This window comes from Homo sapiens, chromosome 14 (assembly GCF_000001405.40).
Source record: "Homo sapiens chromosome 14, GRCh38.p14 Primary Assembly".
In the NCBI taxonomy this organism is placed as follows: domain Eukaryota; kingdom Metazoa; phylum Chordata; class Mammalia; order Primates; family Hominidae; genus Homo; species Homo sapiens.
This window is the reverse complement of record NC_000014.9, coordinates 92,191,022-92,213,853: the sequence shown is the minus strand read 5'-3', so window position 1 is coordinate 92,213,853 and position 22,832 is coordinate 92,191,022. Positions and strand designations below refer to the sequence as shown.

At 47.1% G+C, this 22,832-nt stretch overlaps 2 annotated features.

The window, feature by feature from the left end:
- Positions 5,895-6,501: an enhancer, noted in NCBI's record as "H3K4me1 hESC enhancer chr14:92673697-92674303 (GRCh37/hg19 assembly coordinates)". NCBI's record gives its function as "activates a minimal SCP1, AML or CMV promoter by ChIP-STARR-seq in primed H9 embryonic stem cells {active_cell/tissue: H9 hESC(primed)}" and the evidence as "EXISTENCE:reporter gene assay evidence [ECO:0000049][PMID:30033119]".
- Positions 6,502-7,108: an enhancer, noted in NCBI's record as "H3K4me1 hESC enhancer chr14:92673090-92673696 (GRCh37/hg19 assembly coordinates)". NCBI's record gives its function as "activates a minimal SCP1, AML or CMV promoter by ChIP-STARR-seq in naive H9 embryonic stem cells {active_cell/tissue: H9 hESC(naive)}" and the evidence as "EXISTENCE:reporter gene assay evidence [ECO:0000049][PMID:30033119]".

Here is a 22,832-nt window from a genome sequence, read left to right as displayed (position 1 = left end):
GAACAGCCCTAGTTAATCTTCGGCTATGGGAAGAGAGTAACTTTCTCATACCTGAGGCTGCATTCGTGGGTCCCTCTGTCTTCTCCTTTCTAGACTAAATCAACATCCTCAGGTCCTTCATCTCTTCTTCATACCATGCTTGTGTTTTCGTTTGGTCAGAAGAACCCTCAGTCCAAAAAAGCAGATGTGGGTGGGGAGGGTGGAGGCGGGGAACTCATGTTCTGCACTGGGCTCCAAGTCTGGCAAGATCGGCAAGGCCAGCTGGATGGGAACATGGGAAAGAGGCCCCAGCCTTGGTTCAAGCTGCCTCGTTATGAATGCCTGAGATGGCAGTGTATTTGTCCATTTTCACACTGCTGATAAAGACATACCTGAGACTGGGTAATTTATAAAAGAAAAGAAGTTTCATGGACTCACAGTTCCACATGGCTGGGGAGGCCTCACCATCATGGCAGAAGGTGAAAGGCACATCTTACATGGCAGCAGGCAAGAGAGAATAGAGCTAAGCAAAAGGGGTTTCCCCTTATAAAACCACCAGCTCTCATAAGACTCATTCACTACCACCAGAACAGTATGGGGGAAAGCACCCCATGATTCAGTTATCTCCCACCGGATCTCTCCCACAACACATGGGAATTACGGGAGCTACAATTCAAGATGAGATTTGGGTGGGGACACAGCCAAACCTTATCAGGACTGCAGCCTGCTGTCCCTGGGAAGAGCCGCTCAGCAGAGAGGTGAGGAACCTGCTCTGGTCCATCCAGGCCAAGCCAGCTGTCCAGGAAACAGAAGTAAACAGTCCTCCTGGTGGCCCAGGGAGCCTGTGCCACCGCCAATGGGATCCCAGGAAGATGAGAAACTGTCTTTGTGAAGAGAATGTCCCCCTGAGATGGACCCATAACTAGGCCATTTCTCTCCATGTGAAACTCTTCATTAAAGAACATTTTCATCAGGGGCATGAACCAGGATCAAGACAAATAACAAATAAGAGAAGCAAACCAGAGCCAGGCAGACAGGAGCACAAATGCCCACGCATGCTTAATAATGCGCTATGCTCGCCCCTGGCTTCATCCAACTCTCTCTGACCTTCCTTAGAATGGATCCCTCCAGAGTCCACCAACTCAGTCCCACCCCTGGGCTTTCTTCAGACATTCTGTTAGCTTCCACAGAGGTGGTAACCTTAGCTAAAGGAAAGACCAGCTCTGATGACGATGGAGAAGCCACTCGTGTCTGAAGGAATTTATTCTCTCCTGGTTCTGCAGGCCAGCAGTCTGAAGTCAAGGTGTCAGCAGAGCCAGGCTCCCTCCAAAGGCTCCAGGGGAGAAGACTTCCTTGCTTCTGCGAGCGCCAGGTGGCTGCCAGCCATCCTTGGCCTCATTCACTTGTGGCCAGATCACACCAATCTCTGCCTCCATCTTTGCATGATGTCTGTGACTTCTCTCCTGTCTCTTTATAAGGACACTTATCATTGGGTTTAGGGCCACCCAGTTAATCCAGGACGATCTCATCTCAAGATCCTTAACCGAATTACATCTGCAAATACCTATTTTGTAATAAAGGTCACTTTCACAGATTCCCAGGATATGAACACAGACGTATCTTTTTGGAGGCCACTGTTCAACCACAACACCAGCTCAAAAGTCCAGAAAAGGTCGTTCATGAAGGATTTATTGAATGCCAACTCTATGCCAGATTCATGCTGGACTCAGTGTCTTCTGTAGCCCCCCACCGGAGGCCTCACAGCATCTTGCACAATTACTGCACCTTCATCCTGCAGTCAGTGCCTGGCCAGGCAGCTATTTGCAGTTGTCGCCCCCCAGGCAACCCAGGGCCCTGACCAATAGGGGAGGGCCAGGGCTTGCCAAGCAAAGGGCCACCTCTTCCTGGTCAGTCTGGCTGTGAAATTATCACAGGCGCCCAGGAAAAGAACCCAAGTTGGGAAGTCAGCACAATTTAGCCAGACATCAGCCAAGCAGCCTGAAAGCCCTTCACTGGGCATCTGAACTGAGAGAGTGGGCATATCAGTTTCCTAGGTGATATGGTTTGGCTGTGTCCCCACCCAAATCTCATCTTGAACTGTAGCTCCCATAATTCCCACGTGTTGTGCCAGGGACCTGGTGGGAAGTAATTGAATCATGAGGGCGGTTTCCCTCATGCTGTTCTCGTGGTAGTGAATAAGTCTCACGAGATCTAATGGTTTTATAAGGGGTTTCCCCTTTCATTTGATTCATTCATTCTCTCTTGTCTGCCACCATGTAAGACATGCCTTTCACCTTCCACCATAATGGTGAGGCCCCCCCCCAGCCACATGGAACTATGAGTTCATTAAACCTCTTCTTCTTTATAAGTTACCCAGTCTCAGGTATGTCTTTATCAGCAACTGAAAATGGACTAGCACACTAGGACTGCCAGAACAAAGCCCCACAAATTGGATGGATTCAACAATGGAAACTGATTCTCTCACAGTTTTGGAGGCCAGAAGTCCAAAATCAAGGTGTCAGCAGGGCTGTGTTCTCTCTGAAATTCTGGGCAGAATCCTTCATCACCTCTTCTGGTTTCTTTTGATGGCAGCCACCAACCTCCAGCATCACTCAGGTCTCTGCCTCTGACTAAACGCGGCCTTCTCCCTTCATGTCTCATGTCTATCTCCACACTCTCTTCCTTCTTCTCATTAGGACACCAGTCATATTGGATTAAGAGCCTACCCTTCTCCAGGGTGACCTCATCTTAATTGCATCTGCAATGGCCCTATTTCCAAATGAGGTCACATTCCGAGGTATTGGGGGATAGAACTTCAACATATTTTGGGAGGGCACAATTGAGCCCACAACAGTAAGCAAAGGGCAACACATAGTCCAACTCATGCTGGCACTGGGGGCTTCATAAGGTCCCCTTGGGATGGCTCAGGGCCACAGCCACATACCTGGTGTCTGTGGCAGTCCTTTGTGGGGCCCAGGCCTACCTCACTGGGTGGAGAGTAAACTCTTAGATCCAGAGCACTCCTCTCAGTGGGGAGGAGGAGAACAGCCCTGGTAGATCCAAGCTGCTTCGGGCTGGAGGTGCTGGGCACTGTGCACCTCTCCCTCCCCACCTAGCCTGCGCAAACCACCCGCTCTGATTCCCTGCGCCTCCTTCTCCACCCACCTCCCTTCTTCAGCTCCTGGTCACTAATGATTGGCAGCTGGTGCTTATTTATGATGTCAGATCCTGTCACTCTGTCCAGCACCCCCAGGGGCTTGTGTCTCACTCAGAGGGGAAGCCAAAGTCCTTCGCTGGCCCCAGCGCCCTACACCGTCTGGGTGCCTCTGGTTAGCCTCTCCATGTCCACCCCCCACCCTTCTCCACTCTGCTCTCTGCAGGTCTCTGGCTTAGGAGGCCAACCTGCAATGGGTTCTCTAGCTTTGCACTGGGCTCCAACAATAACAGAACCTGGGCAACAGATTGGGTGAGAGGACAGTGGAGTTGGGGTACTTATTCCCCCCAGCTTTCTCCCTGCAGGGGTCCCCAAGGGCCAGCAGTTGTCAATCAACCAGGAAGCAGCCCTCTCCTCTCTCCCTAGGTTCCTGTAGCTTCTCTTTTCTTGCCCCTTTAATTCCAGGGGTGGCCATGGCATCTGGGGTGGGGGGTGCTGTGCTATTCCTTGGGGTGTCTCTATATCTGCCTACTCTTTGCAATGGTCCTTTAAGTAAAGTCCCCCCAGTCCTCCAATGTGAGCAGGCCATCTGCTTCCTGCCAGGATTTTGACTGATTTCCTTCTTGTCTCTCAGACTGTGTCTTCTATCATTCTCCCTCTCGATCACTCCTGCTTTTGCACAGGCTTTCTCCTCTTACCTCCTCTTGCCTGATACTCTTATCCACACAACTGACTCTCTCACCCGTTTGCAAGGCCTCACTCAGCTCTGGCATGTGAGGCACTGCCTGCCCTGACCACCCCACTAAGACTTGCAACACCCACCAGCCCCCAGCATGTCCAAGCCCCCTTAGCCTTCTTGATTGTTTTCAGAACACTTGTCTCCTTCTAGGACACTACATCGCATGTGCGTCTGTTATATTTGCCATCCGTCTCCCCTGCCTCTAGAATAGAAGTTCCACAGGGGCAGAAATGTTGGACTATTTGGTTTGTTCTGGATGTATCCCAAGTACATAGAATGGTGGCATGTACTTGGATGGTGGAGGAGGTGTTCATCCATTTGTGCCTCCATTCCACAGACATTACTGCACGTCTGCAATGTGTCAGGCACTGTCTAGGCAAACACAGCCTTCATCCTCATTCCTTGCCCCTTTGTTTTCGTTCCCTTACTTGGCCTCTGCTGCCAGACCCTCTGGCCCTGTGCTGGCATCCAGAGTGCCAGCCTTCCAGGCTACAGCCAGAGCTGGGCCTGTAATCTGCTGTATTCCATGGCTGGGATCTCAGAGAGTGACCGAGCCCCTTCTGGGTGTTATGATCACAGGCGGGCCTCTCCCAGCTGCCTCCCACTGCTGTTTGAGGCCGAGCTCTATGAAGCCGGAGTTTCTGAGTTTGCTCATTTTTAAACAATGATAAGATTTCCGTATTCAGCACTTCTTCACAGGCCCTCGGCAACTGCCTCGGCAGGCTTCCTTCCAGTCCTGTCGTAAATCGCTTCTGAGTCAACCTCTTTCTGTTCTGTACGAGCTTAGCAGCATCTCACCTCGAAAACGCGCATCATCAGAACATGACAAGACCGTACCTACAGAGATGAGGGAGTTTCTCTATAGCATCTCTCAGGCAAAATGAGTATGGCGGTCACCAGAGAGTTTCTTGCCACTTTCTCTCAGGGTTCTGGAAATGTAGCTAAAAATGTAAGCCAAAAAGAAACAACAAGAACAAAAATAACTGTGCATGCAAAATAACCTTGTTTCAGCAGGCGTGTTGCACCTTTTATTTTATAAAAGCAAGGGGGCTGCTGACTGGAGTTTTACCTGCTGAAGCCCTAAAGACGGCAAATACACTCAAAGAGATGCAAATAAAATGAATTCTAAGGCCAGGCGCGGTGGCGCATGCCTGTAATCCCAGCACTTTGGGAGGCCAAGGCAGGCAAATCACTGGAGGTCAGAAGTTCGAGACCAGCCTGGCCAACATGGTGAAAACCCGTCTCTACTAAAAATACAAAAATTAGGTGAGTGTGATGGTGCACACCTGTAGTCCCAGCTACTCAGGAGGCTGAGGCAGGAGAATCGCTTGAAACTGGGAGGTGGAGGTTACAGTGAGCTGAGATTACACCACTGCACTTCAGCCAGGGTGACAGAGCAAGACTCCGAAAAAAAAAAAAAAGTTAGGGGGAATTCTAGGACCTGTCTCAAGCTTCACTGAAGACAGTAGGAACTAGGTGGGTCAGTGAAGCTCAAGGTGTTGCATACGGTGGGCGGCAGGCATCCCTGGGGCCTTCCACGGGTGGGCAGAACATGGGAGACAGGACTTCTTCACTCTGCTCTGGTTCCAAGAGATGGGGGAAAAGGGATAATGCTGAGAATTCTGCGAGGTTCCACTGGGCACACTGCTAAAAGACATCGCCTTCGGACAGCACACAGAGCTTCTGTGATCTTCCCATCTTCATGGTAAGAAGACAAAAGGAAAAATGTGGCTGAAGGGAACCGAGAGAAGGAAAATTGACTGCACACGGGGATAGAACAGAAGAGCCCTCACCCACCCCTCCTCTAAACCCAAGTGCATGTGGTGCACGGCCCACTGCCTGGTGGATGGGACCATGCAGGGAGCTTGGGAGCACAAGCCAGAGCCCTGGGGCGTTCCCGGCATGCAGAGAACCAGGTGTGCTGCCCTGATGTTGGATGCAGTACAACCTTTTAGACAGAAGTCTCCCCCCACCCTCCAACCCTAAGACCACAAAGGATGCACAAAGACCCTTGAGAGGCCGAGGTTTGCCTGTGAAGGCTCCACACCTCCTTAGGGAAACTGCAGGCTCCAGGTGAGGCATTCACGTTACCTGAGGTTTCCTCAGCCAGTAGGACATAGCCCCACTGCAAAGAGCTGCTCCCCCACTCACCACAGCATCATAGCAGCACCCCTGTGCAATACCTCCAACAGCCTGGGGAGCTCCGGAGGCGACCCCTCCATACTCCATACCATGCCCCAGTAAGTGTAGGAATATTATCTGTTCCTACTTGAGGTGCTGACCTGAGCACCACCCACAGCGGGTGAAGGGTGGAAGTGAGGGGCATTTCCAGAATAAGAGGGTGTTGGGACCCAGATGAGGTCTGCGGAGGCCTGCTCCCTGGGAAGCCATTCTCACAGGCACCCATGGGGAAATGTCACTCAGGGAGCTGTCCCACAGCGCTCCCCAGCTGCCGGTCGGTCCAAAGGGCCACAGAGCGTGCTGCTCTGGGGCATCCTCATGGAGCCCCCCTGGGATCTGCCAGCGGGGAGCAGAGTTCTCCCCCTCTTCCTCCTTCTCTTCCTCCTCCCCTCCCCCTCACCTAGGCTCACATCAGGCATCAAACCAGCCCTGCCAGTGCCCTTGTGTCCCTAAAGAGTACCTTGTGCTTTGCCTGGGCAGGGCCAGGCCAAGGGGGACCTGAGACTCCACATGTGTTCTCTTCCTCTGCAGAGCCCGGAGCCCATTCCAAACCCCTCCCCTCCAGCCAAACTCCCTCAGGGGCGTGGTTCTTGGTCCCGCCCTTTGGTTCACTGCACTTGCTCAGACGTCGCCGACCCACCACAGCAACAGGCCCACAGATTTTCAGCTATTGTTTGCCTCTGTTTCTTCAGTCAGCTTTTCTCGACACTGGATTAGAAGTGCTTGCAAGGTGTGGAGGGCCAGGGAGGCAAGTGAGGTGGCCCAGGGTGCTTGGGCTGTTCACAGCCTGGGTCTGAACCTTGCCCTGTCCACCCACACCCTCCCTCTCATTCTACTCTTGAGCCTCCTGGCATAGGCCCTCCCGGGTTGCGCCCTGGGTTCCCATCCTCTCCTTGCCCCTTGCACTTAGCACTGTCTTCCTGGCCTTGACTTTGGCTCCCCTTGACAGTTTTCAGGTTCACATCCCAGCACGCCCTGCTGTGTTGTCATTAGCAAATGGTTCACCAGCTCATCTGGGTCCCAACACCCTCTTATTCTGGAAATGCCCCTCACTTCCACCCTTCACCCGCTGTGGGTGGTGCTCAGGTCAGCACCTCAAGTAGGAACAGATAATATCTCTACACTTACTGGGGCAGAACGGAGGCAGGTGTTTTATGGGTTTTGTTTGTTTCTTTGTTTGTTTTTTGACACAGAGTCTCGCTCTGTCACCAGGCTGGAGTGCAGTGGCACAATCTTGACTCACTGCAACCTCCGCCTCCCAGGTTCAAGCGATTCTCCTGCCTCAGCCTCCCGAGTAGCTGGGACTACAGGCGCACGCCATCATGCCCAGCTAATTTTTGTGTTTTTAGTAGAGACAGGGTTTCGCCATGTTGGCCAGGATGGTCTCGATCTCTTGACCTCATGATCCGCCCGCCTCACCTCCCAAAGTGCTGAGATTACAGGCATGAGCCACCGCACCTGGCCTGGATGCAGGTGTTATGTCAACCTTAGATATACCTCCTGGGGGGCTAAGCGTATGGAAACAGTGGATGGCTGTATCGTTTATGTGGCTATAGCTTTAGTGTAGTCTGGAATGCGAACATCTCAGGAGGGATGTTCATGGTCCTGTCTAATTGGACAGATGGACTGGGAGGGGAGAGGGGCTGGTTCTAGACCTGCCCATGGTGGAGTTGTGAGGAATGGAGGCTGGGGTTAGGCCAGGGGAAGGAAGCAGTGGAAGGTGCCCTCCAAAAGCCCTCCTATACTGAGAGACCATGGTGACTGAAGAGGACACTGATTGGCAACAGACAGTAGTCCAGATAAAAAGGGAATAAGGGTCTGGATGCGGTGGCTCAAGCCTCTAATCCCAGCACTTTGGGAGGCTAAGGCAGGTGGATCATGAGGTCGAGAGATCGAGACCGTCCTGGCCAACATGGTGAAACCCTGTCTGTACTAAAAATACAAAAATTAGCTGGGCGTGGTGGCATGCACCTGTAGTCCCAGCTACTCGGGAGGCTGGGGCAGGAGAATCACTTGAACCTGAGAGGCAGAGGTTCCAGTGAGCCAAGATCGAGCCACTGCACTCTAGCCTGGCGACAGAGCAAGACTCCATAAAAAAACAAAAAAAAAAAAAAAGAGGGAATAAGGAAGTTCAGGTGATGCTGATGCTGATGCTGATGCTGATGGAAGGACCCAGGTGCAGGTGCAGTAAATAGCTAACAACCCAACATGAACAGTTGGTAGAGTGGGCAAGTTAAAAGGAACAACAGGCTAGTGATTATGCCTGAGGAGTGAGATTGAGTTATTAAATGGTGAGTGCCAGAGAGCTGGGCATGGAATGCTTCAAGTTCTCCTGCTCAGGGCTTAGCAAACTAGAGTGCCTTTTGGAACTGACAGGTAACATAAAATGCAAGACAATAGGGAGGGGTGGGATCATGCCAGCTGCAGAGGGCACAGCTGTGATTGTCATCAGTGCTGTGCCCCATTAGAGCTGATCAGCTCTCCAGGCATCTGCTAGGGTTTACCTTCCCCTCTTCCTTCGAAGTCAGGAGAGTCATGCAACTTGCCCCGACAATGAAGTCTAAACAGAAGGGGCACGTGGCCTTCCAGGACAAAGATTCAAGAACCAGTGAGCCATTCACTCTGCCTCCTTCCCTTCACTGTGTCAGTGGCCCTGCAAGCCCATGTCAAGAGAAAGCTGCCAAGAGCCTGAGTCCGTGAGTGGATGCTGTGAGAAGAATACATCCTCGGACATGTGACATGAACAAGAAATAAATTCTAGTTGTGTTGCTCCTAAGGCATTGGAGTTACTTGTTACTGCAGTGTAACCTAACCTAGCCTAGCCATTGGAAATGCAAATATTTTTTAAATGCCTTGCTGGCCAAACAAAAGTCTGTAGTGGTGGAATTTGGCCCATGGCAGAGTCAGATTATCACCCCTGGCTAGAAATTGTGAAAATACTGAATCTCAGTCAGCTGTCTCAACTTTAGGAAAATAACAGTCCTAGATACTGAACCATAAAGGTCCCAACAGATGACTTACCAGTGAACAGTGTTTCCATCTTTCTGCTTCTCTTCTTTCTGCCCTTATCCCCTCCTTCTTTCTCCCATCACCACTTCTGTGACTTTTCTCTCGTTCATCTGTCCATGAGTTACTGTGACAATTATTAAAGTTTTGCTTCTTTGGGAACTCTCAGGAGTTTCTGAGTCCTTTGCCAGCCTTGTGTGGTTGAAAAGAATAACCACCAAAAGGCAATGCCTCAGTACCTGGGATTTCCCATTTCATGGTGGAATCATAGAATCAGCATCAGTCTCATCAAGAGAGTGTTCAATGGTGTCCACCTAGGAACAGGATGAAACCTGGTCAGGCAGAAGCAGAGATGGTAAAGATCTTTGGCTGTTGAGTTGTCCCTAGAAATAGACACTGCCTAAGACACAACTCTTAGAGTGGGAGAGGGAATGACACTTAACTTGAATCCGATTTGTGTCACTCTCCTAGGAGAGAGTTCATACCAAATGGATCTGTCACAGCAGGAAGCAGCACTGAGGTTTGGAGGCACCAAGCCCCAGAGATGAGAGGCCGCCTGTCTTAGTCCATTTTGTGTTGCTATACATAAACTGAGCTGGGGTACGTATAAAGAAAAGAGGATTACATGGTTCATGGTTCTGCATCTGGTGAAAGCCTCAGGCTGCTTCTACTCATGGTGGAAGGGGACCTGTGTGTGCAGAGATCACATGGCAAGAGAGGGAGCAAGAGAGGTGCGGGGAGGTGCCAGGCTCTTCTTAACAACCAGCTCTCAAGGGAACTAACGGACTGAGAACTACTTCCCCCACCTCCCCCAACAGGGAGGGCATCAATCTATTCATGAGGGATCCACCCCACAACCCAAACAACACCCCACCTTAGGACCCACCTCCAACATGGGGGATCAAATTTCAACATGAGACTTGGAGGGGACAAACATCCTGACTATAGAACTGCCTCCGTGTTCCGTTTCCTCATCTGTACAATGGGACAATACAGACCCACCAAGTGCCTCCTCCGTATTAGACACTGTGCCAGGCCCTGAGGAAGCAGAGATGAATGTGCATGGGACCTGTCCTCAGGGATCTCACAGTTGAGCACAGTGCTGCAGAATGTGCCAGTCTGTGAGGTGTTTGTTCCCAGTATGCAATATGATAAGGAGCTTTCACTAGAATGTAAATTCATTTTCATCACTAGGCACACCGTCTAGACCAGCTAATTTTTTATAGCAAGCAAGGGAGTGATTTACAAATTCTTTATTTCAAATGGTAACAAACAGTTGTTGACACAGATCTATTGACTACAATTTGAACAGTACCATCTAATAGCTTTGAGACTTGCTGTAAAGAATTAGCAGAAGTAAAAGCATGATACTGGTATAGCAATAACAGAAACCATCAAGGCCCCCTCCACGTCCCCTTGGCACTCACCGGCAGGTTTCTCCCGAAAAACCTGCGATGCTCCACCTGCTGCCTTTCTCCGAGGCCCAGCACGAGGGGTCAACAGATGCTGGAGAGTTGATGCCCCCAGGTCCACACTTCAGTCAATGACGAGCAGGACCTGGAAGATAAATAGCCCAGTGTTTGTCCCAGGGGAGACAATTCAGTGCACAATCTATGCTTTCTCCCAGATGTCCCAGCAGGACCACACCCAGCTGTCCACAGTATAACCTGCTTGTTAGCAAATCCTGACTAGGTTCATCCCTTCCCTCCCTCATGCACCCATTCTCCTGCCAGTGCCTTCTGAGGTCACCTCCCAATCACACTCCTTGCGCGCACACCCTCGTCTCAGGATCTGCTCCTGGGAAAGCCCTATCCAAGACACTGTGCTAATGTACCAACCCCAGTGGTCAAATGGTAGCACCTCTCTTTTCTAAACACTATTGAGGTGATGAGAAAATGCTCCCTTGGAGCTTGTGCTGTCCATGAGACTCTCGCATGTTTCTTAGTACCACGTTGTATCGCCCACCACTTAGATTTGCCTACAGAGCCGTAATAACTCCAGGTTTAACGTTCTGATTTTATTAACTTTAGGAAGAGGATGGAGTGGAGTGGAAAGAGGAAAAGAGTGCACTGTTTCGAGACTCCAGAACAGAACTCTTGATTTTGCTCTGAACCTCTTCCTCTCCATGAGGCCTCACCATACCCCTATCCCCTGTCCCGTTGCCCAAGCCCCACCCCCAGGAGACAGCCTTGATTCTTCCCTTTTCTGCAGCCTGCACATCCAACCCATTGGCAGGCCCTGTTGTTTGTGTCTTGAGAACCTGGGTGGAATCTGTTCACCTCTCTCTAAACCACCCCCAATTCCCAGCCACCATCAGCTCTCTCTGGGGCCACACCAATGGCCTCCCAACAGGTCTTGCTGCCTCCATTTTGCTCCTTATAATCCAATTTCTGCAGTGTCCAGAGAGACCTGCCAAAAATGTAAATCAGATCATGCCTTTCAGTGACTTCTCATCTCAATTAGAATAATATCCAGACCCTTCACTATGGCCCACCAGGCCCCACAGGATCTGGCTTCTGACTTTCTCCAACCCAAGCCTCTGAGCTCCAATCACAATGGCCTCAAGTGTCCCCAGTTCTTTCCTGCCACAGGGACTTTGCCGTTCTTACTCTCTCTGCCTGGAAAGCCTTTCCCTGTGCCTTCACATAATCATGGTGGTTGCTTCTCATCTGTCAAGGCTTCGTTCAAATGTGACTCCTCAATGAAGTTAATTACCCTATCTAAAATGTTGCCTAACACACACCAGAAACCCCAATTATTTTCCATCATAGCACCTATTTATTACCATTCTAGCAATGATCACTAACCTGCAATGGTCCTGTTAGTTTACTTGTTTATTGCCAGCCTCTCCTACTGGAATGGAAGCTCCACAAAACCCCAGATTCATCGGTCTCCTTTGCATTACCTCCCCAGCCCTTGGAGGGTGCTCAACATCATACAGGAAATGCTTAATACATTTTGCTTTTCCTTAGAGCAGAAGTTTCATTTCATCTCTTTTTTTAGTTCTTTGGAGATAAAATATACATAACATACAATTTACCATTGTAACCATTTTTAAGCAGACAGTTCAGTGGCATTAAGTGCATTCACAGTGTTGCCCATCCATCACCACCATCCAGCTCCAGAACTTTTTTATTTTCCCAGACTGAAACTCTGTACCTGTAAAAAGTAACTCTCTGTATTAGTCTGTTTTCATGCTGCTGATAAAGACATACCTGAGACTGGGTAATTTATAAAGAAAAGAGGTTTAATGGACGCACAGTTCCACATGGCTGGGGAGGCCTCACAATCATGGCAGAAGGTAAAAGGCACGTCTTACATGGCAGCAGGCAAGAGAGAGAATGAGAGCCAAGCAAAAGGGAAAACCTCTTATAAAATCATCAGATCTCATGAGACTTATTCACTATCATGAGAACAGTATGGGGGAACCTGCCCCCATGATTCAATTATCTCCCACTGGGTCCCTCCCTCAACACATGGGGATTATGGAAGCTACAGTTCAAGATGAGATTTGGGTGGGGACACAGCCAAACCATATCACATCCCGTTCCCACTCCCCTAGTCCCTGGTACCCACTATTCTACTTGCCATGTCTATGAATTCAACTACTCTACATAGTTCATATAAATGGAATCATACAATGTTTTTCCTTTGGTATCTGGCTTATTTCACTCAGCTTTCAAGCTTCATCCATGTTGTAAGATGTACCAGAATTTTCTTCCTCTTTAAGGCTGAATAGTATTCCATGTATGGATAAACTGTACTTTGTTTATCCATTCATTTGTTGATGGACAATACATTTTGTTTTGTTCTGTTTTTTAAGTCACAATAGCTTAGAGTCCTGCCTCTGGCACCTAATTTGTAACCTTGTGCAGGCTATTTAACCTAAGACTCTATTTCCTCCCATGTAAAACAGGGGTAATGTGCCAATTACCTTATATAAAGCCCTGGGGCAGTCTTACAAACAAGGAAATTTAGCAAATACTGTTTTTCTCTGTGTCTGTCAGAATATTTTCAACTGGCCGAGCATGGTGTCTCACACATCTTTGTAGTTTTTTAGGCAAAAAACTAAAAAAAAGAGAGATATAATGAAACGTCTGCTCTAAAAAACGTGTATTAAGCATTTCCTGTATGATGTTGGGCACCCTGCAAGTTCTGGGGATGTAATCCCAACATCTTGGGAGGCTGAGGCAAGCGGATCACTTGAGCCCAGGAGCTCGAGACCAACCTTGACAACATAAAAAGACCTTGCTTCTACCAAAAATAAAATGAGCCAGGTGTGGTGGCACATGCCTGTGGTCCCAGCTGCTCAGGAGCCTGAGGTAGGGGGATCACTTGAGCCCTGGAGATTGAGGCTACAGTGAGCTATGATGGTGCCATTGCACTCCAGCCTGGGACAAAATACCCAACTGCTAGGAGATTAGACAATAAGGGGCTTTGCTGTCTCACATAATCAGAAAACCTACCTTAGGGAAGCTCCAGGGTTGGTTCTCAAGGATGTCATCGGAGACCCAGACTCTTTTTCCTTGTGTCTGCTCAGCCTTCCTCAGCATAATGGCTTGGTCCTAAGCTTGTCCTTGTGGTCCCAAGACGATGGTTCCAACATCATGTATGGATATGACAGTATTTGGCTGGAGAGGAAGAGCATTTCCACCCAGGCATCTCCTTGAATTAGGGAAGAAAAGCTTACCCAGAGGACACCAAGAAACCCCTCCTCCTATGGGTCCCATTGGCCAAGATTAGAGCATATGCGCCTATTTTTGTTGCAAAGGAGGATGGTAATGTCATGTATTTGGCCATGTCAGCCCTCTGCTGGGGGAGAGGAAGAAGGGCTGAGGTGATGGTACATCCAAGCGCTTCCCTGCATCTTTCTTCCCTCTCCTCTCTGCTCTTCTTGGGTTCCCTTTTCCCGAGGCACGCTCAGGCTCTGTTGATTTTGAATTAGGGAGTCCGCACCTTTCTCACAGCTGTGTTATTCTGTTTGAAAAGGGAGGCTGCAGGTGTTGTTTTGTAGGTGTGTGGGCGTTTGGAGAATGAGGCCCAGGACTGTTTGAGTATTGAGAGGATGCGCTGAGGGATAGAAAGAATTAGGCAGAAAGAAATCCAGGTATCGCTGGAGGGAGGAAGCAGACAGATCGCTAAGCAGCGTCGGGGGTCAACAGAGGCTGAGACCTGAGGAAGGGGGAGAAGCCTGGCCAGCGTTAAGCCAGAGCTTCTCTGGGAACAGGCTAAGGAGGACAGAGGGGAGGAAAGCCCTTTTATTTCAAAACCTCAATTTGGCCTCTTCTCTTCCTCCTCATACCACCCTGCCCTTCGTCTCCTCCTTCCTGTTCCTTCTGGATACTGATTAGACTCAAAGCTCCAGCCTCAGGCATGTGGGTGCAGGGAGGAGGTGCCTCTCCTGCTCCTCCTTCTGTTATTAGGGGACTTGTCTGCTCCTAAGCCAAAAAAGGACATACCTCTTTTTTTTTTTTTTTTTTTTTTTTTTTTTTTTTTTTTTGAGATAGGGTCTGACTCTGTCACCCAGGCTAGAGTGCAGTGGCACAATCTTGGCTCACTGCAACCTCTGCTTCCCGAGCTCAAGTGATTCTCCTGCCTCAGCCTCCCAAGTAGCTGGGATTACAGGCATACGCACCACGCCTGGCTAATTTTTGTAGTTTTTGTTGAGACAGGGTTTCGCCATTTGGCCAGGCTGATCTTACACTCCTGACCTCAAGTGATCTGCCCACTTCTGCCTCCCAAAGTGCTGGGGTTACAGGTGTGAGCCACTGAGCCTGGCCTAGGAAAGGACATTCCTTACATGGTAATGAAGGGCCCTGATGAGACCTCAGTGTGGGCAGGGCTGACAGGACCAGCTGAAGCCATCGGGAAGCCCCGAGCTCTCCACTCTCATGGTGGACAGAGTGCATGTGTATATTTCATAAAGACTTATGAAAATAAAAAGACAAGCCACAGACTGGGAGGAAGTATTTCTTTTCTGGGAGGAAATTCTGTCTTTTTATTTTCATAAGTCTTTCAAAGAGCAGAAGTTTTAAATATTGATGAAGTGCAACTTATTATTTTTTTCTTTTATGATTCATGCTTTTTTACCTAATCCAAAGTATCAAAGATTTTCTCCTGTTATTTAGAAGTTTTATAATTTTAGCTTTTACATTTACATCTATGACCTATTTCAAATTAATTTTTTTTTTAGATGAAGTCTCGCTCAGTCGCCCAGGCTGGAGTGCAGTGGTGTGATCTTGGCTCACTGTTAACGCCCATCTCCCGGGTTCAAGCATTTCTCCTGCCTCAGCCTCCCATGTAGCTAGGATTTCAGGTGTACACCACCACACCTGGCTTATTTTTATATTATTAGCAGAGATAGGGTTTCATCATGTTGGCCAGGCTGGTCTCGAACTCCTCACCTCAAGTGATCTGCTTGCTTTGGCCTCCCAGAGAGCTGGGATTGCAGGTGTGAGCCACTGCACCCGGCCTCAAATTAGTTTTTGTTTGTGGCATGTGGTTGTCTGTCCACAGTTTTTAACCTGGAACTAAGTGGCTCTGGATACTGGGAGCATCATTTAGGCATTGCCTTAAGATCTGCTACGTAGCATGCAGTTAACTGCTTGGTCCTTGTTGGAAAGATACAGTTGGAAACCCAACTTTCATACTTACTGGCCATGGTGGACATTTATTATTCTGTTTCCCAGCATCCAAACCCCTTTATTTTATGGTGAATCTCCCATCTGAAAAGGTGGAGCCTGCCTCCCACTCTAGCAGTTGAAAATGCCAGATTCTGGCAGGGTGTGGTGGCTCATGCCTGTAATCCCAGCACTTTGGGAGGGCAAGGCAAGCAGATCACGAGGTCAAGAGATTGAGACCATCCTGGCCAACATGGTGAAACCCCGTCTCTACTAAAAATACAAAAAATTAGCTGGGTGTGGTGGTGTGCACCTGTAGTACCAGCTACCTGGGAGGCTGAAGCAGGAGAATTACTTGAACCCGGGAGGCAGAGTTTGCATTGAGCTGAGATCACACCACTGCACTCCATCCTGGCAACAGAGCAAGACTCCATCTAAAAAAAAAAAAAAAGGAAGAAAATGCCAGATTCTTCCAGTCCCTGCCTCCCTCACTTCTAAGGCACGGGAACATGACCCAGGCCCCATGTATTCCTTGAATTCAGCCTGTGTGTTGACTGTCTCTGCTTGAAAACCTGGGGTGTTTTCTGCTTTCCTGGCTGAACACTCAATGATGCTGGCTGAGCCTGTGTGCACTGTGATTCAGGCATTTTCATGGCCTTTGTGGCTTCTCTGGCCCACCCAACAACCTTTCTTTTTTTTCAGGTTCATTACAGTATATTTCATATGAAGTGATATTCACTCTTTTTAAGTGTACAGTCCTATACATTTTGGCAAAATTATACAGTTGCATAACCACCCCCACAATTGAGGTATAGACTATTTCCTTCACACCAAAAACTTCCCCTTTGCCCCTCTGCAGTCACTCCCCTCTCCCAGCCTCCAGACCCTTGCAACAATTGACCTGATTTCCTTCCTGCAGTTTTTCCTTTTCCAGAATGTTATGTAAATGGAATCATGCCGTGTGCTGCCTTTTGAGTCTGGCTTCTTTTACTTGGCATCATGTTTTTAAACCATTCACATTGTTGCATATGTAAGTAGCTTGTACCTTTTAACTGCTGAGCAGTAATTCCATTTATTTTATGAATTTATCAGAATTTGTTCATCTTTTCACCAGTCGATGGACGTTATGAACATTTAGGTTGTTTCCAGCTTGGGGTGATTATGAATGAAGCTGCTGTAAACTTTCACATATAGGTTTTGGTGTGCACACTTCTTTATTTCCTTTGGATACATACCAAGGAGTTGAATTACTGCATCGAATAGTAAATATATACATATACATAACTTTATAAGGAACTGACAGTTTGTTTGCCAAGATGGCTGTACCATTTTTCATTTCCACCAGCAATATATGAGAGTTCTAGTTGTTCCATATCCTCACCAGTATTTGATATCATCAGGTTTAAAAAATTTGAGCCATTTTATGGCCAAGAAACATATGAAAAAATGCTCAACATCACTAATGTTCAGGGAAATACAAATCAAAACCACAATGCGATATCACTTTACTCCTGCAAGAATGGCCATAATCAAAAAATAAAAAAAAATAGGCAGGGTGCGGTGGCTTACGCTTGTAATCCCAGCACTTTGGGAGGCCGAGGTGGGCGGATCACTTGAGGCCAGGAGTTTGAGACCAGCCTTGCCAACATGGTGAAACCCCGTCTCTACTAAAAATACAAAAAATTAGCCGGATGTGCTGGTGGGCGCCTGTAATCCCAGCTACTCGGGAAGCTGAGGTAGGAGAATCGCTTGAACCCAGAAGGGGGAGGTTGCAGTAAGCTGAGATCACGCCATTGCACTCTAGCCTAGGCAACAAGAGCAAAACTGCGCCTCAAAAATAATAAATAAATAAATAAATAGTAGATGTTGGCAGGGATGCAGTGAAAAGGGAACACTTCCACACTGCTGGTGGGAATGTAAACTAGTACAACCACTGTGGAAAACAGTGTGGAGATTCCTTAAAGAACTAAAAGTAGAGCTACCATTTGATCCAGCAATCCCACTACTGGGTATCTACCCAGAGGAAAAGAAGTCATTATACAAAAAAGATACTTGCACACCCATGTTTATAGCAGCACAATTTGCAATTGCAAAAATATGGAACCAGCCTGAATGCCCATCAGTCAATGAGTGGATAAATAAATTGTGGTGTATATATATATACCATGGAATACTATTCAGCCATAAAAGGGAACAAAATAATGGTATTCGCAGCAACCTGGATGGAATTGGGGGCCATCATTCTAAGTGAAGTAACCCATGAATGGAAACCAAACATCATATGTTCTCACTCATAAGTGGGAGCTAACCTATGTGGATGCAAAGGCATAAAAACGATACAGTGGACTTTGGGGACTTGGAGGAAAGGGTGGGAGGTGGCTGAGGGATAAAAGACTACAAATTGGGTACAGTGTATACTGCTTGGGTGATGGGTGCACTACAATTTCACAAATTAACACTAAAGAACTTATGTAACCAAATACCACCTGTTCCCCAAAAATCTATGGAAATTTTAAAAAATTAAAAATTAAAAACATTTTTGAGCCATTTTATAGGTGTGTGGTGATATTTCATAATGATTTCAATTTGCATTTGTCTAATTACAAATGCTGTTGAGCATCTTTTCGTGTAATTATTTGCTGTTCTCATATCTTCTTTGGTGAAATATCTGTTCAAATCTTTTGGTAATTTTTTATTGGGTTGTTTTTTTTTTTATTTTTGAGTTTTAAGAGTTCTTTATACATTATTGTTACCAGCCCTTTATCAGATTTTTTTTTACAAATACTTCCTCCCAGTCTGTGGCTTGCCTTTTTATTTTCAGAAGTCTTTCAAAAAGCAGAAGTTTTAAATTTTGATGAAGTTCATCTTATTATTTTTTTATGATTCATGCTTTTTGTTTCCTAAGAAATATTTACCTGACCCAAAGTATCAAAGATTTTCTCCTGTTTTCTAGAAGTTTTGTAGTTTACATTGACATCTATGACCTATTTCAAATTAATTTTTGTGTATGGTATGGATGGAGGTTTTTTTTTTTTTGCTTATAGATGTCCAACAGTCCCAGCACCATTGTTGAAAAGACTATGCTTTCTTTGTTGAATTGCTGTGGCACTTATGACAAAAATCAATTGATATATGTATGGGTCCATTTCTGGGTTCTATTTTTGGTTGTATTGATCTATGCATCTACCCTTTCACCAATATCAAACTGTACTGATTATTTTTATTTTTTTATTTTTTTAATTTTTTTTTGAGATGGAGTCTCGCTCTGTCGCCCAGGCTGGAGTGCAGTGGTGATCTCGGCTCTCCGCAAGCTCCGCCTCCCGGGTTCAGGCCATTCTCCTACCTCAGCCTCCCGAGTAGCTGGGACTACAGGCACCCGCCACCACGCCCGGCTAAGTTTTTGTATTTTTTTAGTAGAGACGGGGTTTCACCGTGTTAGCCAGGATGGTCTCGATCTCCTGACCTGGTGATCCGCCCTCCTCGGCCTCCCAAAGTGCTGGGATTACAGGCGTGAGCCACCGTGCCCGGCCTGTACTGATTATTATAGTTATATGATAAGTCTTGAAATCAGGTAGTATGAATCCTACAATTTTGTTCTTTATCAACATTGTTTGGGCCAATTTAGGTCCTTTGCTTTTCTATATAAATATTAGAATCAGCTTGTCAGTTTCTCCAAGAAGCCTGCTGAGATTTTGATTGAGATTGCATTGAACCTGGAGATCAATTTGGGGAGAACTAGCATCTTGACAGTGTTGAGTTTTCAGATCCATTAACATGGTATATATCACTTACGTCTTTTTTTTTTTTTTTTTTTTTTTTTTTTTGAGACAGAGCCTCACTCTTGTTGCCCAGGCTGGAGTGCAATGGCACAATCTCAGCTTACTGCAACCTTCGCCTCCTGGGTTCAAATGATTCTCCTGCCTCAGCCTCCCAAGTAGCTAGGATTACAGGCATGAGCCACCATGCCCGGTTAATTTTGTATTTTTAGTAGAGAGGGGGTTTCTCCATGTTGGTCAGGCTGATATTGAACTCCTGACCTCAGGTGATCCTCCCACCTCGGCCTCCCAAAGTGCTGGGATTATAGGCGTGAGCCACCTCGCCCAGCCCACTTAAGTCTTTTTAAAATTTCTCTCATCAGTGTTTTGTGGTTTTCAGTTTACAAATATTGCACATTATTTATCTTTAAGTACTTCATGCTTTTTGGTACTTGTAAATGGTACCTTTTTTTAAACTTTCATTTCTAATTGTTCATTGCTAGCATAAAAAAATCCAACTAAATAAATACATAGATTTTAGTATATTTATCTTGTATCCTGCATTCTTGCTACACTGACTTGTTACATCTAATAGTGTCTGGAAATTCTCTGGACTTTTCTATGTAGAAAACCATATTGTTTATAGTTTTATTTCTTCCTTATTCTTATGCCTTTTATTTCTTTTTCTGATCTCATTGTACTGACTAAGATATTAACTAGGAGTGGTAAAAGCAGACATCTTTGCGTGTTCCCCAGTCTTTGAAGGAAAGTGTCCAGTGTCTCACCACTAAATGTGATGTTAGCTATAGGTTTTTTTAGATGCTCTTTATTAGAGTGAGGAAATTTCACTTTAGTAAACTCTAGTTTTTATCATGAATAGATGTCCAACCTTTTAGTACATTTCTTTTATGCTTAAAGCAGCCAGAGATGGTGTCTGTTTCAAGTAGAAACCCTGACTGATATACCAGCCTTGCAATGTTGGGTAAGTTCCTTAACCTCACCTGATCTGAACAGAAGCCTAATGATGAAAATTTTAAGTCCTCTTAATTTTACCGCCCAAACATAGTCACCATAACAATCTTCAAACGTATCCATTGTGTTGTATAAATAGCTTGACTTCAATTTATTATTTTTCTCCCACTCCACCCTCAGTCACTTTACTGATTATATGTAATTATGTAAATAATATATACCCATTGTAAAGAAACTGAACAGTTCATTAAGATATAAAGAGAGCGAAGGTCACCTGGATGTCACCATCCTGAGATAACCGCCATTAACAATTTGGTGACCATCTATCTTCCAAGCCCCTCTTCATACATGCTCACACATACATATATGATCTTACTTAAATGAGCCCAGGATATACATGCTGTTTTATCCTCGGTGTGTTGCCGCCTCCCCTCCCATCCCACATCAGAACCCCACTTGCCTGTTTCATGGTCCTTTGGATTGACTGGGCTCAGCTGGGTGGTTCCCATATGGAGTTTCTCATGTAGTTGTAATCAAATGTTGGCTGGAGCTGTGGTCATCTGAATTCTCTTCTGGGCTGGATGTCCAAATTGGCTCACTATTGTGACTAGCAGTTGATGCTGTCACCTGGGACCTCTGCTGTAGCTGTTGACTGACGTGCCTACATGTGGCCTCTTCATGTGCCTCAGACTGTTCAAAGCAAGAAGGCCAGGTTCTAAGAGGGAGCATTCCTGGAATAAGAATTTTAAGAAACCCCAATGGAACCTGCAATGCTTCTTGCTACTTGGCTTCAGAAGTCCCAGAACATCACTTCTGCCATGTTCTATTGGTGATGCAAGTCATTAAGGCAAGCCTGAATTCAAAGGGAGGAGAATTAGACCCATGTTTCAAATGAGAGAATTAGCAAAGAATTTATGGCTATCTTTAACTTGCCACATTTATCAAACAATATGTATGTATTGAGCACCTACTACCTGCCAGGCACTATTGCAAGTGCTGAGGATACAGAGGTGACAAGACAAAGTTCCCGCTCTTATGGAGCTTACATTTGAGTGTGGGGCCACAGACAATAGAGAAGTGAACAAATAAAGCTAAACAAGCAATATATGGCCAGGCACAGTGGCTCACACCTGTAATCCCAGCACTTTGGGAGGCCGAGGCAGGCAGATCACTTGAGGTCAGGAGTTTAAGACTAGCCTGGCAAACATGGTGAAACCCCATATCTACTAAAAATACAAAAAATTAGCCATATATGGTGGCGGGCACCTGTAATCCCAGCTACGCGGGAGGCTGAGGCAGGAGAGGAGGCAGAGGTTGAAGTGAGCTAAGATTGTGCCATTGCACTCCAGCCTGGGTGACAGAGTAAGACTCTGTCTCAAAAAAACAACAACTACTAAAAAAACAAGCAATATATATATACTTACACACATATATATTGAATTAGCTAATTAAATGTGTCTCCCTTGCTCCGAAGTCCCAGAAGCTTTAGCTGTGCTTTGCTTTGGGCACTGTTGCCTTTCTCCCTTGTACTTCGGGTATTGATTTTCTGGTCAGTATATATTTTGGGGGATTGGCCATTTCTATCCCAGCCATCTCTAAGGGCTGCGTGGGAGCAGACTTTCAACAGTGACTGCACAGTGTGGCGGTTCCAAGCATGAGGGCTCTGGAGTCAGATACTGTGGGTGAAATCCCAGCTCTGCCAATCTGCCAACCGTGTGGCCTTGGGAAGTAACTTCATTTCTCTGTGCCTCAGTTTCCCCACCCATAAACAGAGGAAGTGGGGATAATCACAGAACCAATTTCCTAGAGTTTTTATGAGAACTAACATTCCTGACCCTCTCACAACAGTGCCTGGCACATAGTGGGTGCTAGATCAGTGTTTGTTGAATGAGTGAACAGCTCTTGAAGCCTCTGACAAACCTGAGTCAGCTCTTCTGCTGCAGGTGGTCCAGCCAGCATGTAGAAGCCACCCACCCACAGGCTGGCCAGCGCAAGCGTGCACAGGAGCCAGGCTAAAGTGGGCTCCATGGCGCATGTTCCCAAGTGAGCCTTTACAATGGTGATGAGCAGGCATGCTGCACCTGTCATTTCAGGAAAAATAAGCAGACATTCCCCTCAGGGGCTGCAGGGAGGCCAGCTCCACAGCCAGCACATCCCCAGGAAGGCAGTCAGGCTTCAGGAGCAGAAGCAGGCCTCACTGATAATTAACACCTCACAGCGAGAGATTTTTTGCCACAGTCAGAGCTTCGTAGTGCAGTGTCAGAATCCAAATCTCAGAACTGCATGGCCCAGGGCAGCGACTTAGCCGAGCACAGCCTCAGTTCCTGGTCTGTGAAACGGGAGTGCCAGCACTCGCCCTTCTGGGTGGTTTGTGCCAGCAACATGTTGTGAGTTCTGAGTGTCTCCACACCAGCGTTAAGCTGAAT